We start from the raw sequence: 21,555 nt of genomic DNA, 5'->3' as shown, positions 1-21,555 counted from the left end.
CTACTCAAGAGGCTGAGGTGGGAGAATCGATTGAGCCCAGGAGGCAGAGGTTGCAGTGAGCCAAGATGACTCTGTCTCAAAAAATAAATAAATAAATAAAAGAAATGGGCAGGGGTGGGTCAGTCTGAAAAATATGAAAGAGAGAAATTCAGCCGGTGTTATAGAACATTATTTTCAATCCCAGATTGTCAACATGTAACAGGATTTTTGAAGGGAAGGAGGTAGCAAAAATTTTAACCAGACGAGCTAATCTTTGGACATCTGGAGTAGTCCCATAAGAAAGCTGTGCTTCAGGCTGGGTGCAGTGGTTCACACCTGCAAGCCCAATTCTTTTAAAGGCTGAGGTGAGTGGATCATTTGAGGCCAGGAGTTCAAGACCATTCTTGGCAACATAGCGAGACTCCATCTCTACAAAACTTTTTTTTAAAAAAACTAGCTGAGCATGGTGGCACACACCTATAGTCCCAGCTACTCGGGAAGCTGAGGCAGGAGGATGGCTTGAGCCCAGGAGTTTGAGGCTGCAGTGAGCTATGATAGTGCCACTGCACACCAGCCTGGGTGACAGAGTGAGATCCTGTCTCTAACTGTGCTCCCAATCTATGGTTCCTGTCTGTAGTGGCAGAATTTTAAGATGGCTCCTAGACCTTTGCTTTCTGGTGTCACTCCTGAGATCATTACATGTTATATTGAAAAGGCCAGTTAGGTTACCTGGGTGGGTCTAATCTTATCACATATGCCCTTTGAAAGCAGAGTTTTCTTCAGCTGGCAGTAGAAGTAAGAGAATTTTGAGGCATGAGAAGGACTTGATGCTCCATTGCTGGTTTGAAGATGGGGAAGGACACACAAGAAGGAATGAGAGTGGCCTTTAAATCTGAGAGTGGCCTCAGCTGACAGCGGGCAAGGAAACAGGGACCTCAGTCCTGCAGCCTCATGGAACAGAAATCTGCCAACAGCTTGAATGAGCCAGTAATTGAATTCTCCCCAGAGCCTTCAGATAAAAGCCGTGAAAGGAAGATATATTGGGCCACCAAAATCACTAAGCTAAAGGGAAAAGTCAAGCTGGGAACTGCTTAGAGCAAATTTGCCTCCCATTCCACTCAAAGTCACCCTTCTGCTCACTGAGATGAATGCATATATGATTGCCTCCTTTGGAAAGGCTAATCAGAAACTCAAAAGAATGTGACCATTTGTCTCTTATCTACCTGTTATCTGGAAGCCCCGCACTACTTCTAGTTGTCCCGGCTTTTCAGACTGAACCAGTGTTCATCTTACATTTGTTGACTGATGTCTCATGCCTCCCTAGAATGTATAAAACCAAACTGTGTTCTGACCACCTTGGACACATGTCATCAGGACCGCCTGAGGCCGTGTCACAAGTGTGCATCCTCAACCTTAGCAAAGTAAACTTTCTAAATTAACTATCTGTCTCAAATGCTCGTGATTCACAAAGCCCAGTGCACTTTTATTTAATCTTGGGATGTCCTAAGCAGAGAACTCAGCCACACCATCCCAGACTTCTAACCCACACAACAAAGAGGTAAAAATGTGTGCTGCTTTTAGCCTCTAGGTTTGTTATCATTTGCTGTGTGTCAATAGAAAACTGATACTCAAGTTGTGCCGGTAGGTACAGATGCTTCCAGGTGTGTTGGTTGGGGAAGGCAGGTGAGGATGAGCCCAGTGAGAAGAGGCTGGGATGCAGATGCAATGAAGGAGAAAGAGTGGGACCCAAAAGGGGAAACTGCAGACTTGTTGTCCATCAGGCAGGCAGCCACATGCTATCTAAGACCTAAAAGGCTCTGGTGATTCAAAGAATTGGTTTCCATGAGGTCCTGCCAGTACCAAGGAGGTCACACCGAGCAGCCCCACTGTTCAGGTTTAGCATCACTGCAAACTCCCAGCAGGGCCCAGCCAGTCCCCAGCCAGAAGAGAAGGAAGGGAGACTTAGTGAGGGAGTTTATAAGAAACAGACAGGTGTCAGGACCCCGGAGAAACAGTCTGGGGGTAGGACAGAGCTCTTATCAGTGAGAAGTTGGACAACCCAGAAATATCTCAGGCACCTGGGACTAAGCCAAAATACTGGGGAGAGAAAAACAGAGATGATGGGGTTAGGACATGGGGCCAAGAGAAGCTGCAGCTCCGTGTCTTATAATGATACCAGGTCAGCCACATAGAACTAACCCCAGCCTGCACCAACTCCAGGACAAAAATAGTAATCTCTGTTGACACTCAGGATGCATTGAAGAGCTGGAAGTAGACCACACCGGAGCTGCTAGTAGCGGTCTTAAGGAGCTGAGGAAGAATGCCGCTAGTGTCTATGAAGGACTCACACTGTGTAGAACGATGAACTCACCTCAATACAAGTTTAGCTTCAGTTTGGGCCAGGGGCAGAGAAGTGGACTGTGACGGAGGTGGGGTGCGGATGTCCATGACCATAGGCAACTTCCTTTGATGCTGTCAACTTTAATTTTATAAACTGCAAAACTGGCGTACTAATCCCTGCTATTGGGGTTCAAAACATACCACTCCAAAATATGACTGTAGAATCCATCACCTCACAATGTGCCTCTTTGGTATATTGATTACTTTGAGCTGATTATTTTGAGAAAATGTGAACACAAAAGTAACTCTGAAAAACTCCCCTATAAATTTACTCCTATAAAGGAAATTTTCATTAGTAAAAGTATGCACACCAGGAAGACAGCTACTCCCAGACATCTTTCTCACTTACAGACTTTTATCTGCATGACGAGGCAGAACCTCTTCCCCGACATGTCCTCCCCTCACCCTTCCATGCCCTGCCTCCACCACCCCTGAAGCCCCAGCCCCTCTTCCTTTCTGGAGCTCAGGATGTCAATTAAGTTTCAGTCATCTGGCCCTTCTCACATTTTTGTCTCACATTTTTGTGGGACTGCTGTGCATACGTACGTAATTAGAATAGTTTTTATCCTGTTCATTTTTTTTTTTCTTGAGACAGAGTCTGGCTCTGTTGCCCAGGCTGGAGGGCAGTGGCAAAATCTCGGCTCACTGCAACCCCCATCTCCCAGGTTCAAGCAATTCTCTGCCTCAGCCTCTCGAGTAGCTGGGATTGCAGGTGCCCACCACCATGCCTGACTAATTTTTTTTGTATTTTTTAGTAGAGTCAGGGTTTCACCACATTGGCCAGGCTGGTCTCGAACTCCTGACCTCAAGTGGTCTGCCTGCCTCGGCCTCCCAAAGTGCTAGGATTACACACATGAGCCCCTGTGCCCAGACTGTTCATACTTTTTTTGTTAATCTAATTCATAGCCCAGTCAAAGAACCTAGAAGGGTGAAGGGAAGCCCTTTTTTCCTTCACTACACTGCCCTGTCATGAAGGTAATAATGTGTGAAAGGAAAATAAACCTTGGGACTCCAGAATCACTAAGCCAAAATCACTAAGGGAAAAGTCAAGCTGGGAGCTGCTCCGGCCAACCTGCCTCCCATTATATTCCTAAATAAGACAGCTACAAAGACAAAAAAGCTACATATCTCCCTCACAATTTTCCCGCAAGAAAATTCCCAGTGGATGAAAGACAGGGCTAAGTTGTGATTTTTTCTTATTTTGCCCAAATTCCTATCTAAGGAGTCTGGGGAGTCATGCCCTACAAACCACAAATTCTCATCAGATGGGTTTTATTTAACCCTATATATCGTGACTTACTTTCCAATGTGACTCTGGCATAACATTTTGTGACAAAGAAGAAGATAAAAATATTTTACCCCAAAATATGTTTCTTTGCCATATTTTGAAATGGCCCACTACACTGCCCTGTCATGAAGGTAATAATGTGTGAAAGGAAAATAAACCTTGGGACTCCAGAATCACTAAGCCAAAATCACTAAGGGAAAAGTCAAGCTGGGAGCTGCTCCGGCCAACCTGCCTCCCATTATATTCCTAAATAAGACAGCTACAAAGACAAAAAAGCTACATATCTCCCTCACAATTTTCCCGCAAGAAAATTCCCAGTGGATGAAAGACAGGGCTAAGTTGTGATTTTTTTCTTATTTTGCCCAAATTCCTATCTAAGGAGTCTGGGGAGTCATGCCCTACAAACCACAAATTCTCATCAGATGGGTTTTATTTAACCCTATATATCGTGACTTACTTTCCAATGTGACTCTGGCATAACATTTTGTGACAAAGAAGAAGATAAAAATATTTTACCCCAAAATATGTTTCTTTGCCATATTTTGAAATGGCCCTGCAAAGCCATCCTTTGTGGGGGAAAATTTGCATCTGTAAAAAATCTCTATCAACATAGCTAGATCTTTTTCTTCCAGGCCCCCCCACCCAGTCCTGAAGAGATTAACTGAGAGTCTAGTACCTTTTGGAGGTCTGAATAGGAAATATTTGTCATTTATTGTCTCTATGGGCAGCCACTATAAGACTTCAAAAGAATCTTGGTCTTTACAATCTTTTATCTTAACCTGAATATTCCATTTCTTTCTTTCTTTCTTTCTTTCTTTCTTTCTTTCTTTCTTTCTTTCTTTCTTTCTTTCTTTCTTTCTTTCTTTTCTCTTTCTTTCTTTCTTTCTTTCTTTCTTTCTTTCTTTCTTTCTTTCTTTCTTTCTTTCTTTCTTTCTTTTTTTTCCCAAGAGTGTCTCACTCTGTTGCCAGGCTGGAGTGCAATGGGGTGATCTCTGCTCACTGCAACCTCTGGCTCCCAGGTTCGAGGAATTCTCCTGCCTCAGCCTCCTGAGTAGCTGGGATTACAGGCAGCCACCACCACGTCAGGCTAATTTTTGTATTTTTGGTAGAGACAGGGGTTTCTCCATGTTGGCCAGGCTGATCTGGAACTCCTGACCTCAGGTGATCCACCCGCCTCCCAAAGTGCTGGGATTACAGGCGTAAGCCACCATGCCCGGCCCCGAACATTCCCTTTATATCCATCCCAGGTCTTCAGACAAACTCAACCGATTGCCAACCAGAAAATGCTTAAATTCACCTATAGCCTGGAAGCCCCTGCTTCAAACTGTCCTGCCTTTCTGAACCAAATCAATGTATTTCTCAAATGTATTTGATTAATGTCTCATGCCTCCCTAAAATATATAAAATCAAGCTGCACTCCGACCACCTTGGACACATGTTCCCAGGACCTCCTGAGGGCTGTGTCATGGGCCGTGGTCACTCATTTTTGGCTCAGAATAAATCTCTTCAGATATTTCACAGAGTTTGACTCTTTTCGTCAACAACAGACAGAACTCAAAGTCATCCCTCTGCTCATGTGAGACAAATGCAAATCTGATTGCTTCCTTTGCCCTATTGTTTCACTAAGCCAGATTAAGGCGTAAGCGACTATTCCTGTAAATGGCACATTCAATGAAGAGCTAATCAGAAACGCAAAAGGATGCAACTGTTTTTCTCTTTTCTACCTAAGACCTGGAAGCCCCCTCCCCACTTGGAGTTGTCCTACCTTTGCAGACCGAAGGAACCAGTGTTTATCTCTTGTCTCCCTAAAATGTATAAAACCAAGCTGTGCCTGGACCACCTCGGGCACATGTTGGGACCTTCTGAGGCTGCATCACAGGTGCATCCTTAACCTTGACAACATAAACTTTCTAAATCGATTGAGACCTGTCTCACATACCTTTTGGTTTACAACTGTGAAATATATGTGTATCTGAAATATATATGTAAATATATGTGAACGTTCTCTTAAGCTGTCAGGTGAGAGGCGCTGGTGTATCATTTAATTACCCACCACCATGGTTCTAACAGAGCTGGCCAAACAAGAGAGGGATGTGATCTGACTCTTCAAGTGAGCCCACACAAGCACAGCAGACAGATCCTAGCACCCAGTCTTCCTATTTGAGAATACTGTGGTGCCAGCCAAGGCAAGGAATTACCCGATTTTATTACATCCCATACTCTTAAATATGTATTAGATACCTACAGCCTTGCTTGTGCCGATACCATGGAAGGATGCAGCAAAGATTGCAGACTTGCCTGGTGACTGATGGCGACATTAAAACAGGCAAAAATGCCCCTCTCTGATCTTCCTCACTCTCCGAAGGCATAGGAGTTGACTTTCGGATAGCAAATGCAGCAATCCCTGGAGGGTTTTCAGCCAGCCGCCTGTGTGGAATTTAAAGTATTATGCATGATTAATTACCAAAAAATTCAGGCAGGCACTCTCTGTCAGGAAAGTGTTTAAAACCTTCCTGGTGGCAGATTGTGCTGCTAGCAAGAAAAATAGATGCTTCAATACCACTCAGTTTCCAAATGCATTTCCTTTCAGAAATGCTTGTGTTAGCCTGCAAATATGTGCTGTCCTACTCTGGCAATTTTAGATGCGCAGCCCCGAAGCAAAGGCTCCTTCCTGTCCTGCCAGAGAAGGGGGCGCGATTGGATGCCATGCAGAGGTGCATGACACGCATCACAGGTACGTGGCTGCCTGTCTCCTGGGCACCCTTTCCATTTTTCCTTTGCAGAATTTGTCTATGCAGCATATTAAAAATCTACCTCTACCTTGATACACTGAAGTTCTCGCAGTGAAAATGTTTATTAAGAAACATATCTGTGCCAGCCGTGGAGGCTCACGCCTGTAATCCCAGCACTTTGGGAGGTGGAGACGGGTGGATCACCTGAGGTCAGGAGCTTGAGACCAGCCTGGCCAACATGGTGAAACCCCATCTCTACTAAAAATACAAAAAAAAAAATTAGCCAGGTGTGGTGGCGGGTGCCTGTAATCCCTGCTACTCAGGAGGCTGAGGCAGGAGAATCACTTGAACCCTGGAGACGGAGGTTGCAGTGAGCCGAGATTGCGCTATTGCACTCCAGCCTGGGCAACAAGAGGGAAACTCTGTCTCAAAAAAAAAAAAAAGAAAGAAAGAAAGAAAAAAAAGAAACAGATTTTTGCCAGGCATGGTGGCTCATGCCTACAGCACCAGCCAGTTGGGAGGCTGAGGTGGGAGGACAGTTTGAGCCCAGGGGTTCCAGCCTGCAGCGCACTATGAACTCTCCTGATGAAAAGCCACTTATTCCAGCCTGGGTTACCTCACCCCCCAAAAAAAATGTTTTGGAAAAAGCTTTAGTTCCAGAAATGTGATCATCTTGATATAATTTTAGAGGGAATTGTTTTTCATAGCCACCACAGTGGAGGGAAAAGTGCTTTCTTCTATCCTTCTAGGTACTTTCGTTGGTCTACAAAATAAGTTGACATAAGACACATTAACCGGAGAAAAACACTTTTAATTATGTACGTACTCACAGGGAGTGTGACAAACATAGGAGACTCAACAAAGCAGCTAGATGACTGAGACTTATACGCTCTCCCTATCCTGAGCTACAGAAAGGAGCAGGGGCTTGGGCTTTGGGGGAGAGTGGAGACATGTTATGAGAGTAAAACCATCTTTGCAAAATTATAACTGAGGAAATTATGACAGTGAAAGAAATCAGACCTAACCAACTCCATCTTGCTTCTAACCCTTAAGCTGTCCTTGTTCGTTCCTGGGCATAGGCAGAACTAACTTTGGGAAGGAATTCAGCTCATGGTTTGACCCTAAAACAAAATTGATAACAACCCTTTCCTGAAAAGAACCCCTTCTTGCCTGGGACCAGTCTGCCTTTGCAGGACTAACAAATTAGCTACAAGATTAGAAATTACAATTTAGGGGTCATGCAGCCTCTGGTTCCAAGAGTCTGAACCTCCCCAGATTGCTCCTGGGGATAACATCACTATTGTAAAACCTAAGATCAGCACTTGAGATATCTCGCAGACCCTGCACTCAATGGATCAGCTGACACTAGCTAAACTGGTAATCCGGCCCAACCAGTTCTGCCATGGCACCCAGGAATAGAAGACATTAAAAAAACCTAACTTCAACCCCCTGTGATTCCATCTCCAACCTAATCAATCCCCACCTCCCAAGCCCCTATGTGCCAAATTATCTTTAAAAACTCTGATCCCCGAATGCTTGGGGAGACTGATTTGAGTAACTATGAAATTCTGGTCTCCTACACAGCCGGCTCTGTGTGAATCACTCTTTCTCCATTGTCGTTCCCCTGTCTCGATAAATCGGTTCTATCTAGGCAGCAGGCAAGGTGAGCCCATTGGGTGGTTACAAGAGGGTAACAAGAGGGGAGGAAATGTATGGTGAATAAGCATTGCCTGGTTACCCAGATAAAAGTCTCTCTGTCAGAGGTGTTTCAACCAGAGCAACTCCATATTGAATAGGTGCTAAGTAAGATAAGGCTGGACCTGCTGGGCTGCATTCCCAGGAGGTTAGGCATTCTTAGTCACAGAATGAAATAGAAGGTCAGCACAAGATACAGGTCATAAAGATCTTGCTGATGAAACAGGTTGCAGTGGGCCGGGCTCAGTGGCTCACGCCTGTAATCCCAGCACTTTGGGAGGCTGAGGTGGGAGGATCATGAGGTCAGGAGATCAAGACCATCCTAGCTAACCCGGTGAAACCCCTTCTCTACTAAAAAAAATACAAAAAATTATCTGGGCGTGGTGGCAGGCACCTGCAGTCCCAGCTGCTCGGGAGGCTGAGGCAGGAGAATGGCGTGAACCCAGGATGCCAAGCTTGCGGTGAGCGGAGATCGTGCCACTGCACTCCACCCTGGGCAACAGAGTGAGACTCTGTCTCAAAATAAATAAATAAATAAATAAATAAATACAAGTTGCAGTAAAGAAGCTGGATAAATCCCACCAAAACCAAGACAGCCATGAGCATGAACTCTGGTCGTCCTCACTGCTACACTCCCACCAGCGCCATGACAGTTTACAAATGCCATGGCCACGTCAGGAAGTTACCCTACATGGTCTAAAAAGGGGAGGCATGAATAATCCACCCCTTGCTCAGCATATCATCAAGAAATAACCACAAAAATGGGCAACCAGCAGTACTCGGCGCTGCTCTGCCTATGGAGTAGCCATTCTTTTATTCCTTTACTTTCTTAATAAACTTACTTTCACTTTACTCTGTAAACTCGCCCTGAATTCTTTCTTGCATGACATCCAAGAACCCTCTCTTGGAGTCTGAATTGGGACTCTTCCCCATAACATCTCTGTTGTAAAATTATCTCTGTTCCTAGTACAGCCATCTTTACTAATGAAATGTTTTTGTAGGTATAAATTTCCTGTACAAAAGGGGAACTTTTTGCTTTGTTTTAGCAGTTGGGGGAGGTAAAGCACTTTCTCTGCTTTGGCTGATTCTTAACTTATTTTAGTTCAAAGTAATGAATATGCCAAAGTGGAATATTTGGTGATGGCGTATCTTGAGCCCTCTGTTCCAGCTAAATCCTGCTTCATGAGGAAAGAAGAGGGTCCTTTAGAAGTGCCATCATTGCTCGAGATGATCCTGTAGCTGCCCTGCAATTAATTGTATAAACATACTAGGTGAACTTGGAGTTCTCCTAGAAAATAGAAGAAAACCCTGAAAAGTCTCTGTCACTCTGCAGGTTATGACTACCATAAGGACATGTTATACAATACACGTGACCATGCTTGCAGTTCTGTTCTGCAGGATGCCATGCAGCCATGCATGCTAAGGTTAGAAAAATAGACTGAAAACATAAGATAGACTGTTAAGTAATAAAATTAAGAAATAAAATAGTATAAACTGTACATTTTTAACCATCCTATTTAAAAATTAATTTTCTAAAAAAACACTGAAAGGCCAGGTGTGGTGGCTCCCGCCTGTAATCCCAGCACTTTGCGAGGCCAAGGTGGGTGGATTACCTGAGGTTAGTAGTTCAAGATCAGCTTGGTCAATGTGGTGAAACCCTGTCTCTACTAAAAACACAAAAATTAGCCAGGTGTGGTGGGTGCCTGTAATCCCAGCTACTCGGGAGGCTGAGGCAGGAGAATCTCTTGAACCTGGGAGGCGGAGGTTGCAGTGAGCCAAGATCATGCCATTGCACTCCAGCCTGGGCGACAGAGCAAGACTCCATCTCAAAAAAAAAAAAAAAAAAAGAAAAGAAAAGAAAAGAAAAAAGAAAAAAACACTGAATGGAAATGGATCACATGATTCTTTTCTCCCCACTTTTCTCTGTTTACCAAATCCCTTTATTGAGCAAGTATTACTTTTACAATGATAAAGGAAAAGAAAGAAAACAAGGAGTGACAGAGCTCAAGGCCGGAGACCATGCTGCTGATGGGCTGTGTCATCTAAGTCCAGCTCCTCTAATGTTTTCTGAGCACCTGCCAGGCTCAGTGGACACACTGGGATACTACTCAGGGCAAGACACCATGTTATCCTCCTGCAGCAACAATCGCTCCCTTTCTGTACCGCTCACACAACTTCACCTTGCCTCATCTCAGCAGATGCAATGGATCAGAACCTATGGCTAAATGACCTTGTCAGCACAGCCACCTGGATGTTGTATGGCAGATGCACCTGAGAGCAATAACTTTACCCCGAGAATGACCCTGTGGCCTAAGAAGAATGTGTGTACCTTGTCCCAAGCTAAGGAATCCAAGAGTAGCAGATCTGGAGAGTCTTTCCTTATCCATGAAGGATGTCCAAACCCCTGGCCCATCCTTTGGAAAGCAGGCCATACAGAGGATTGAGGCCCTTTGTTTTGGGTCAAATGAGGTTGCCAGGTGGAGATGGCTAGGTGGAAGGTGCTAAGTGAAAATGTGATATAAACTGCATGCTTTTTAGAAACAGTAGCAGTTCTCCAGTCTAGCCCACTGCCACTGGACTGTCCCTGTGTGTTTGTAAATTCTTCAGATAAACCCCGTGACTCACTTATTATCTCTGGACTTCTTTTTTGGCCTCTCAGACATACTGCCATCCTTACGGGAGTCAGTACGGGTTCAGCACAACAGTTGTGACATTCTAGACCACTCTGAAACCACCTTTGGCAGTGAGGGAAGTCTCACATGGAAAAATTCTGGCAGTGAAAGAAATTGGACATCGCTGATTCCACCCTACTTCTAACCTCACAGGATGCCCTTGTTCATTCCTGGGCGTAGGCCAAACTAACCTTCAGATGAATTTAGTTTATAGTGTAACTTTGAAACAAAGATGACAACATCCCCTTCCTAAAACTAACCGCCTCCTTGCTCTGGGACTGAAACCACCTTTGTAAAACTGACAAATTAGACACAAGGTTAGAACTGTGGTTCAGGAGTCTTGCAGTCGAAGGTCGCAAGATTGCAACCTCCTGTAGGGAACGTCACTACTGTTAAACCTAGGACTGGTATGTGAAGTGTCTTTTGGACCTTGCATTTTGATGGACCAGCTGTGGCCACCTGGACTGGTAACCCATACCAAGACAGTGACTCAGCTGGTCTTGTAACCTTCACCTAGGAACTGATTCAGCACAAAACGACAGCTTCAACCCGCTATGATTTACCAACTAAGATGGACCCTAAAGTTAATGAAACAGAGTTACTTACAGGCCGGGCGCGGTGGCTCACGCCTGTAATCCCAGCACTTTGGGAGGCCGAAGTGCGTGGATCACAAGGTCAGGAGATCGAGATCATCCTAGCTAACACAGTGAAACCTTGTCTCTACTAAAAATCCAAAAAAAAAAAAAAAACAAAACCCAAATTAGCCGGGCATGGTGGCGGGCGCCAGTAGTCCCAGCTAGTCAGGAGGCTAAGGCAGGAGAATGGCATGAACCTGGGAGGTGGAGCTGGCAGTGAGCCAAAATCACACCACTCTGCCTGGGTGACAGAGCGAGACTCCGTCTCAAAAAAAAAAAAAAAAAGTTATTTACAAATGGAAGTTTAGGGCCTGGCTGGCATGGCAAATTTCTAAATTCTTACAGCTACAAGAAAAACCACACCCTTGCTAAACTCTCCAACAAAAGGAATTATTAGGCTGATTTACAACCCAGACCACTACAACCCTGATTGGAAAGAGAATCGGCCTTACAAGCATTCTTTTTTTTTTTTTTTTTTTTTGAGACAGAGTCTGGCTCTGTCACCCAAGCTGGAGTGCAGCGGTGAGATCTCGGCTCACTGCAAGCTCCACCTCCCAGGTTCACGCCATTCTCCTGCCTCAGCCTCCCAAGTAGCTGGGACCACAGGCGCCCGCCATCACGCCTGGCTAATTTTTCTATTTTTAGTAGAGACAGGGTTTCACCATGTTAGCCAGGATGGTCTCGATCTCCTGACCTTGTGATCCACCTGCCTCGGCCTCCCAAAGTGCTGGGATTACAGGTCTGAGCCACTGCGCCCGGCCACAAGCATTCTTTTCTGATAAGCAACTACGGAACTTAAGCCAGTTTCAACAGCTTATAGAGGCTGAGCACAAACTGTCTCTGTGTTCTATAGTTCACCTTTTGACATAAAGACCCAAATTCCACCTCATTTTAATGCAAAAAACCCCATCCCAAAGTGAACATGGGATGTATGTTACATATATTATGTATGTATATATATGGATATGTACATTTATATGTTAATATGTATACATATTGCATGCATATATACATGTATAAGTATATGTGTATTCATTTAGCATGTAAATATGTTACCCATTCTGCATGTGCATAAATATGTACATAACACCCATAACTATGTACAGCTTTCCCTCCAAACCTGCTGAATATGTTTGACTCTATTGTGTAATGTGGACCCTGTGAGGCATAAAACCCAAATTGTCCTTCCAGTCTTCAAAGAGAGAGCACCTTCAGTCCATGCTGGCGACTTTCTCCTCCTGGCTTGCAAACCAATATCATCAATAAAGGTCTCCTTCCTAATATTTAGCCATCTTGGTAGTGTTTTGGATGACAAAAGGTTTAAAGAGTTGTGACCAATGTCCATCTATGGCAAAAAGTCAACTTCCGTCTAAGCCGAGTTGGCACCCTGGGAATTGGATTACCTTGCTCAGGACAGCAAATACGTCTAGAACTTGGAACCAGAGTCAGTGAGGTCCAAGTCCCCTAATGGCTCAAGAGACTTCATTCACTTAGGCTTAAGGAATACATTTCTACTCCTAAACCAGTCACTGTTACTCTAATGTAGTGTACGTCCTTCAGGCTCTACAAGTCCAAAACTGAATCATGCTCCTGTGCGTCTCCTACACTGTTAACGATACTGTTGAATACCCGATCACTCAGTGACCAAACTTCACTGGTCTCCCCTGTGTGTTCATCTCCCAAGTCCTCCACGTTCAGGTTATTTTGCAGCCTTGTTTTTGTCTCTGAGCCCCTTCTTTAAGCTACTCTCCCCTTTCCCTTTGGTTGATGATTCAGGTTACGCTCTCCTGATTTTTGGGCAAAACCACTCCTCCTTCTGCTGTGCTGCTCCAGAGGTTGTTCTTTTGTTTGTTTGTTTTGTTTTGTTTTGTTTTGCGATGTAGCCTCACTCTGTTGCTCAGGCTGGAGTACAGTGGCACCATCTCGGCTCAATGAAACCTCCGCCTCCCGGGTTCAAGCAATTCTCCTGCTTCAGCTTCCCAAGTAGCTGGGATTACAGGCACCCACCACCACACCCGGCTAATTTTTGTACTTTTTGTAGATACGGTGTTTTGCCATGTTGGCCAGGCTGGTCTTGCACTCCTGACTTCAGGTAATCCACCCACCTCGGCCGCCCAAAGTGCTGGGATGACAGGCGTGAGTCACTGCGCCCGGCCCAAGGTCACTTCCTTAAGGTCTGTACAGTCAGGTCTTTGACTGCCTTTCATGCCTTCCCTGCATTCCTTGGTGTCTCCTACCTCTGCACCTTTGCCTGTGCTGCTCCTTCTGCCCAGCAGGCCCTTCTCCCTTTTTTCTCTGGTGGTCTCCTGCTCATTCTTCATGTTCCAGATCGTTGTTTTCTTCCCCTAAACCTCTCCATTCCTCTTCTGTCTGTAAGCTGCCTCTCTGCTTTTGCTCTTCTCTCTACTGGTAGAGTCCAGAGGGGTGTCTGACTCCCCCCCAGACTCTGTGCTGCCAGAAAACAGCCCACAACCTGCTTATTGTGTGACCAGGTGCTAGCACACACCTGGCCTGTGGGAGCTGCATGGCGAAATGAAAGGATGACTGATGAACGATTTTTTTCCCGTAGCCTGGGAAGAGAGCTCACCTTTCTTCTTTCGGCAGGTAGTTACTGGCCACCACCTTCAAACAAACCTTCAAATGTGCCAGGTGCAGTATCTGATAACCAAGGAATTTCAGATGAGAAGAAAAGCATAAAAAATGAAACCTACCATAATTGAAAACCCGTAATGACTCCATGGTGGCAAGCTGTGACCTCTCATTCCAGGGCTCTTCTTCTGCATGTTGCCTAAATTCAGTTCCATTAATTCCACATGTTGTCACAATTACCCATTTCTGAAAATAATGTATACTCATACATAAATATAATACATTCCTGAGTGCCTCTGAAGACCCAGCATATAGACAAAAGGGTTATTTGTAAACCGGTTGCTGTGGTTGGAATGTGTCCCCCAGAGGTCCTGTGTTGGAACCATAACTCCTAGTGCAACAATGTTGAAAAGTGGGGACTTAGGAAGTGATTAGGTCATGAGGGCTCTGCCCTCTGATGGATTCATTGCATCATGATGGAGGTGGGTTCACTATTATGCGAGTGGGTTCCTGACAAAAACGGTTGAATTCAGACCCTCCCCATCTCTTGCAGTGAGTACTCTCTTGCTCTTCCACCTTTTGCCATGAGATGACATGGCAAGAAGGCCCTTGCCAGATGAAGCCCCTCAACCTGGCACTTCCAAACCTCCAGAATTGTAAGAAATAAGTTTCCTTTCTTTATAAATTATCTAGTCTGTGGCATTCAGTTATAGCAGCACAAAATGGACTGGGACCATGTTCACATACCTAATCTGCTTTGCTAGGCAGAGTTGCTTGAAGGCAGAAACATAAATTGCCTCGTACCTTACAGTTGAGTGTATAGCTGAGCCATGAATGAAAGCAGATTTATTCATTTAATAGGCACATCTTTCAAGCAGGCTTTGATTATTCTCAAATTATTCTCACTGAGAGAAAGGACACCTCCCAACCACAGTGGTCAGCTGTCACATCAGTAAGTATTCAACACCCAGCTTTTAGGACCTCCCAGTCCCACCACACAGCTGGAGGATGCCACTGTTTGCAGAGAAAGGTGTCGTGCGATGAGGCATTAGGTGAGGGCAACTCACAAAATCAAAGCACAGGGGCGGTGGGCATCATGGCTGCCATTCATCACACAGGCTGCATCTGCCACCACCACCAGCCTTCCAGCAGTGGGAACCCCCGGGGCCACCACCTCAGCTGTGATCTCCCTGCAGCCCCTTCCTCTGTCCACTCTCTATTTGTGAAACAGGTTCACCAACAACCAATCCAATCCCAAGGGAGGACTCCACTGCATGGAGGAGAGCAACCATCAGAAACAGGAGTCCAAGCAATTCTGCTCCCTGGAGTGCAATGCTACCAACTGCCCAAGACGAGTGAGACAGAACACACTCACAATTGGTTATAGGAAATAGGTTTATTACTCACAGATAGGGAGCAGGGGACGAAAGAAGACTAGGTTCCACTGTGAGCCAGTCCCCCAAGGCTCAAGAAGCCTTCCCAGAGCAGATGGAGTCTCGACTTCATCTGCCCCGCTTCCACTACAGCTGAGGAAACCTGGCAGGCAGCCCACCCTGGGTTCTAGAACTCAGGGGACACGTGGCTCACTAGGAAAAGCTTTGCTAAAGCAAACGAAATATGGCCTGAGAAGGACTCCATACTTCTATATTTGAGTCCTTGTGGATGAACTATAACCTAGCTTAATAGGCAAAGATTGAAAACCTAACTAAGGAGTATGTGCTTGTAACAATATTAAGTCTTGGCCAATCCCAGCAGCCATACTTCAACCACTCACAGACTGCTGAGTGTTCAAACTACTCAAACAAGGCAAACGCCAACCTGTAACCAATCCAGCTGTTTCTGTACCTCACTGCTGATTTCTGTTTGTCACTTCCCTTTTTTTGTCTATAAATTTGTTGTGACCACGAGACACCCCTGGCGTCTCTCTGAATCTGCTGTGAATCTGGGGGCTGCCCGATTCGCAAATTGTTCATTGCTCAATTAAATTCCTTTCAATTTAATTCGTCTAGCTGAAGTTTTTATTTTAACAGCTTTGAAGGACGTGCTGCTTCCGGGAGAGAGAGAAACTAAGCCTGGGCTGTCTAAGACAGCCCCTCCCCAAGATATCACCTTCCCTAGGAGGGGCAGGAACAAGGCCCACTGTTCTGGGCAGTTTCTCCCTGTCTCAGGATATTGCATTCCCAGCACACGCCACACTTACTCTGCAAACCACAGGCAAGAAGTAAAGTGGGGAGATAGCCGGTTGGCCAAGGCTATCCCGGGACTGTCCAGTACTATTCAAGGCCCCCTCAAATCTCAACACTCGCTTCTTATGGAGACACCAAGACCTTGTACATTCTGGGGGAAACCTTCCCCACACTCTTGAATTCATTACCACATGCTCCGTGCTGGCCTGTCACATACGTGTAATGATACATTTGATTACTTGTCACTCTTTCTTTAATGCTTGTCCTCCCTGTAATTCTGTTAGGCCACAGATAAACCACTTCTAGTCCATGCAACACTATCTCCCTGGCCCTTAGCCCAATGCCTGGCACACAGTTGGTGCCCCCCAGTGTTGCCAGTTGGCTCACGGACCGACTGCCCTTGGAGTCATGCTGCTAGGGATGCTGCCCGGCCTCAGGTCCGAGAGCATCAGAGTGTGAATGTGAGTATTGACAAGTGAAGCTGACTTGGCTTCTGGGTCCGGTCGGGACTTGGGGAACTTTTCCGTCTAGCTAAAGGATTATAAACGCACCAATCAGCACTCTGTAAAAATTGACCAATCAGCAGTCTGTAAAATGGACCAATCAGCAGGATGTGGGTGGGGTCAAATAAGGGACTAAAAGCTGGCCACCCCCAGCCAGCAGCAACAATCTGCTTGGGTCACCTTCTGTGATGTGGAAGCTTTGTTCTTTCGCTTTTTGCAATAAATTTTGCTGCTGTTCACTGGGTCTGTGTTACATTTAAGAGCTGTAACCCTCACTAGGAAGATGTGCAGCTTCACTCTTGAAGCCAGCGGGACCACAAACCCACTGGGAGGAAGGAACAACGCCAGAGGTGCTACCTGAGGCACAACCTTTAAGAGCTGTAGCGCTCACTGCAAAGGTCTGCGGTTTCACTCATGAAGTCAGCAAAACCTGGAACCCTCCAGAAGGAAGAAACTCTGGTCACATCTGAACATCTGGAGGAAAGAACTCCAGACAGGCCATCTCTAAGAGCTGTAATACTGACTTCGAGGGTCCACGACTTTATTCTTGAAGTCAGCAAGACCAAAAACCCACTGGGATTTCAATGCTGGACACAGTATGTGACTGTGAGCCTGAATGTGTTCCGGTGAGTGGGCCTGAGTGTGTATTAGTGTACGTGTGGGGGAGAGTTTGGGTGTGAGTGCGCACACTCCACTGCACTTTTAGCATGAGCGCAAGGCTTTCAAACCAGAAAGGGCAAAGGTTTTAATTCTGTTCAGATTCGTGGAGTTCACGTCATGTTGTTTTAAGATGCATCCCAGCCGTGTTGCTTGTGTTTTCCAAAATGTGTATTTATTCAAATCTAAAGAAAGATGTGCATTTGGTTTTTAAAACTGCAGAGCGCTGAAAATCTGGCCTCTGAAAATCTTTTATCTGCAACTGTACTGGTTGCGGCTCTCTGGGCTCTGGCAAATCTGCATTTCACGCCACGTATTCCCAAACATTGCATGTCCTTGTAAACCACCTGGGCAACTCACTGAATCTTTGGATTGGTTCTGTCTGATCAGTTCTTTCCTGATGATGAGAAGCCAGGGTTCTGGCTGGGCACGGTGGCTCATACCAGTAATCCTAGCACTTTGGGAGGCTGAGGAGGGCAGATGGCCTGAGCTCAGGAGTTTGAGACCAGTGTGGGCAACATGGTGAAAACCTGTCTCTACTAAAACACAAAAAATTAGCCAGGCATGGTGGCGGATGCCTGTAATCCTAGCTACTCGGGCTGAGGCAAGAAAATTGCTTGAAACCGGGAGGTGGAGGTTGCAGTGAGCCAAGATAGTGCCACTGTGCTCCAGCCTGGGTGACAGAGCCAGACTCTGTCTCCAACAACCACGAAGAAGCCAGTCTTCTGTTCTCCGTGATATGCGTTAGTTCAGTCCCAGGAGCGTGGAGTAACCCTGCCCTTCCCTGCATTTGGAGTACGTGGAGCACGAAGCACACAGGTTAGCAACCAGGCTCAAAGAGCAGATAGCCTAGTTCAATTGCAGAGACCCCAGAAACCACAAGCTGTTGAGCTGCACTGCTTGTTTTCCATTACACATTTAGAAGTTGCTGCTTTAGGTCACTGGAAGAGTGCAACAGTGACAACAAACGAATAGCTGCTGCTTTGGCAGGGGTAGGTGAGGGTGTGTGGAGACAAGGATCACCATCCTTTGAATGGCAGGATTTTTCTCTCCCACGTTCATTTCCCTAGGCAATACCAACTCCCTGGGGGGCTGCTTCGGCTCCGGCCCCTCCACCAATGATGGTGGAGTCCGCCTGTCCCTCCTGCAGCTGTCTGTGCGAATCTACTCCTTTCACCTCTAAAAGCAACTCACAGCAGGCACCCTATGTTCCATGTAACACCTTTCTCTCAAAGCTGTATCATTTGAATTTGTCCCCATCATAGGAAGTAGCAAACCTCAGGAATTTCTTGCCAGTTTGTGTGCTATCTTCCTTAGCTTCGTTTGATTGGAGTTGCTCTCCTCCCTTAGTCAGCATGTGTGACTGCAAGTAACTCTGTAGTGGGTAGGCTTTGGGCGTGTAGAAGCAGCCTATGCCTCCCACCTCCACCAGCGGGAAGCTGGCCGGTCAGCTCGGATGCCTGCACAGACACACGTGCAGAGGCAGAGACAGAATCCAGGCATCCCTGTCTTTGAACTTTTAAGTTCCACAGGGTTAGTCAGCCATGAGGCTTGGGGCTGAACATCTATCTTGAGCTACCTATGCCGAGGCGATGGCCAGATGAGAGCAGGTGCCCTGTTGAGGTGCGGTCCTTGAGCAAGGGCAGGAGGGCTGCATGTGTACCAGGAAGGAGCGCTGTAGCCCCTTTGTCAGAGAGCAAGACCCAGTAATAATGGCAGGTGTGGATAATACTGGAAGGGCAGCAGCAGCCCTCAGATGAACACGTGGGGCCTCCACAGGAGGTGACAGAGCGCCAGGCAGGAGAACGCAGACGGGGGCGACAGGAGCCCTTGGCAATGGGAGGAAGAGGAAGGTGGCCTGAGGAAACAGGGGCTCACTAGGCCTTTCTCAGCAACAGCAATTCTCAGAAGTTGGTTCATGGATGCTCTTGTTTTGATATGATTAATTTTTAAGTAGTTTTTGGGCTGAAAAGGAAAAAAAAAAAAAAAGGTTGGGCAGATGCATCTGTTACTCCTACGCAGCATATGGCAGTAAACTGGCATTAATTTTACTATGTTTATGTGTTTACTAATTTATTATATTTAGTATGTTTATTATGTTTGTATGTAGTTATACAGAAACAGGAAATAAAATACAAATAGGTGGGCTTCTTTTGGTAAAGAAATTAGTTATTTTTAGTTGTGAGGTAAATTTCAGTCAATTCGACTTTATACAACTCTTGCAATTGATATGTCTTTCCATGATCTCAATTTTTAAAAAATGCAAACCTTTATTCCAAGTGTAATTATCGAAGGACTTTTTAGACATAAAACAGAAAGTTCCAGCTAATTACAAATGTGACCGACTAAGAGCATTTAACAGGACAAACCTACAAACTCAGAGTTCCTAAGAATCATCTACCTGTCAAACACTTCCAGCCAATGATATCCCTCTCCATGTAGCCAAACATAGAGCAGGCCGCATAAGAGGTTATTTTAAAAATGATTAATACCCAGCGTTGTCTTTCTTATTTGCAAACGATGGTTATTACTGTCATGGACCATTATGAATGGGAAGACAGACAGTAGGAAATGCTGCATTACCTATTAAAATTTAATGTAGAACGTCATCCCTCAGTACCGAGGGAGGATTGGTTCCAGGACCCTAGCGCATACCGAAATCTGCAGATGCCCAAGCTCTTTATGTAAAATGATGTAGCATTTGTGCATAAACTACACACATGCTCTCATATACTTTATGTCATCTGTGGATAACTTACAATACCTAATACAATATAAATGCTATGCAAATATTTGTTATACTATATTTTTACTTTTATTATGTTTTATTGTCCTATTATTTTTTATTTTTATTTATGACTATTTTCAGCCTGCAATTGAATCGGTGGATGCAGAACCCACAGATATGGAGATCCAATTGTACTTTGAAATTTCATTCTCATAAGAAACTAAGGCTTGCTGACTGTTTTCCCAGCAGTCTTCCAAAATTTACATTGGTACAATAAGGCAATCTAGATACCATGGCAGATCGCCCAGCTGAAAACAAGTAAAACTGCCGAAAAAAAATGTGGGAGAGATATTTTTACAGGCAGCAATAATTTGGCAAGTGAAGCAGAAGATTCAGCGACCAAAACTCCAGTGAAAATTGGAACCTAGGAGATGAGCTGGTTTTGCCTTGAGGGCATCTGGCAAACCCAGGGATCTCCAGCCTTGGAATTCCAGGGCCAATGGTGCAGGGAAAAGTGCAGAGCCAGCCCACACTGGGACCTGGGACACAGCCTCTCCAACGCTGCGGGACAGGGAGGAGCTTTTCCTGGGGTGTCCCGGTGGACTGGAAATGTACCCACTGTCCGTAGGACTAGCCGCATCAATCCTGAGCACTGAATAGAACGGAAAAACATTCCTGCTGATAATTCATGATCACCAGCCAGCCCTCAGGAGAGTTTTCAGCTCGAATTTGAATTACCCAGGTGGTCAGAAAAACCTCAAGTTGAGGATTCAGCTTAATTTCATCTCTGGCTGATGACAGTGCCCTGGTGCTCGGCAGCAGAAGGACCCACAGAGGCAGGCATCAAATCATTCCTGTGGATAACAGAAAAGTTGGACATGCAAAAATTCATACATTGGGCAAATCAGACCTGGAATTAAAAATAGACCGGCTCGGCCAGGCACAGTGGCTCACGCCTGTAATCCCAGAACTTTGGGAGGACAAGGCGGGTGGATCACGAGGTTAGGAGTTCAAGACCAGCCTGGCCAATGTAGTGAAACCCTCTCTCTACTAAAAATGCAAAAATTAGCCGGGTGTGGTGGCGGGTGCCTGTAGTCCCAGCTACTTGGAGGCTGAGGCAGGAGAATCGCTTGAACCCGGGAAGCAGAGATTGCAGTGAGCTGAGATTACGCCATTGCACTCCAGCTTGGGCAATAGAGCAAGACTTCATATAAAAAAATAAATAAATAAATAGACCAGCTCATACACCTACTATGTACCCACAAAAATTTAAAATTAAAAAAAGACCAGCGTATTATGTTTAAAGAACTAAAAGAACTGAATATACAAATAAGGAGCAAGAGACTTTATTAAACAATCAGGTCTGAAAAAGAATCTAATCAAATTTGTAGAAATAAAAAATATATAAACTAAAAATAAAGTTTAACATTAGGCTAGAGAATTTGTGACCTGAGACTTGGATCTGAAGAAATTATTCAGAATGTATGACAA

General features: G+C 45.4%; 1 long non-coding RNA gene across 1 annotated transcript in view; it reads right to left on the bottom strand.

Moving 5' to 3' along the window:
- The window catches only part of LINC02346 (long intergenic non-protein coding RNA 2346), a 150,761-nt gene that overhangs the window by 18,486 nt on the left and 110,720 nt on the right, over positions 1–21,555 (bottom strand). The window contains exon 2 of the long non-coding RNA NR_040082.1: positions 18,614–19,301. This is a non-coding gene — a long non-coding RNA (long intergenic non-protein coding RNA 2346). The remainder of the gene's footprint in view (positions 1–18,613; positions 19,302–21,555) is intronic.

The sequence above is a fragment of the Homo sapiens genome, chromosome 15 (genome assembly GCF_000001405.40).
Source record: "Homo sapiens chromosome 15, GRCh38.p14 Primary Assembly".
NCBI lineage: Eukaryota > Metazoa > Chordata > Mammalia > Primates > Hominidae > Homo > Homo sapiens.
This window is presented reverse-complemented; position numbering and strand designations above follow the sequence as displayed.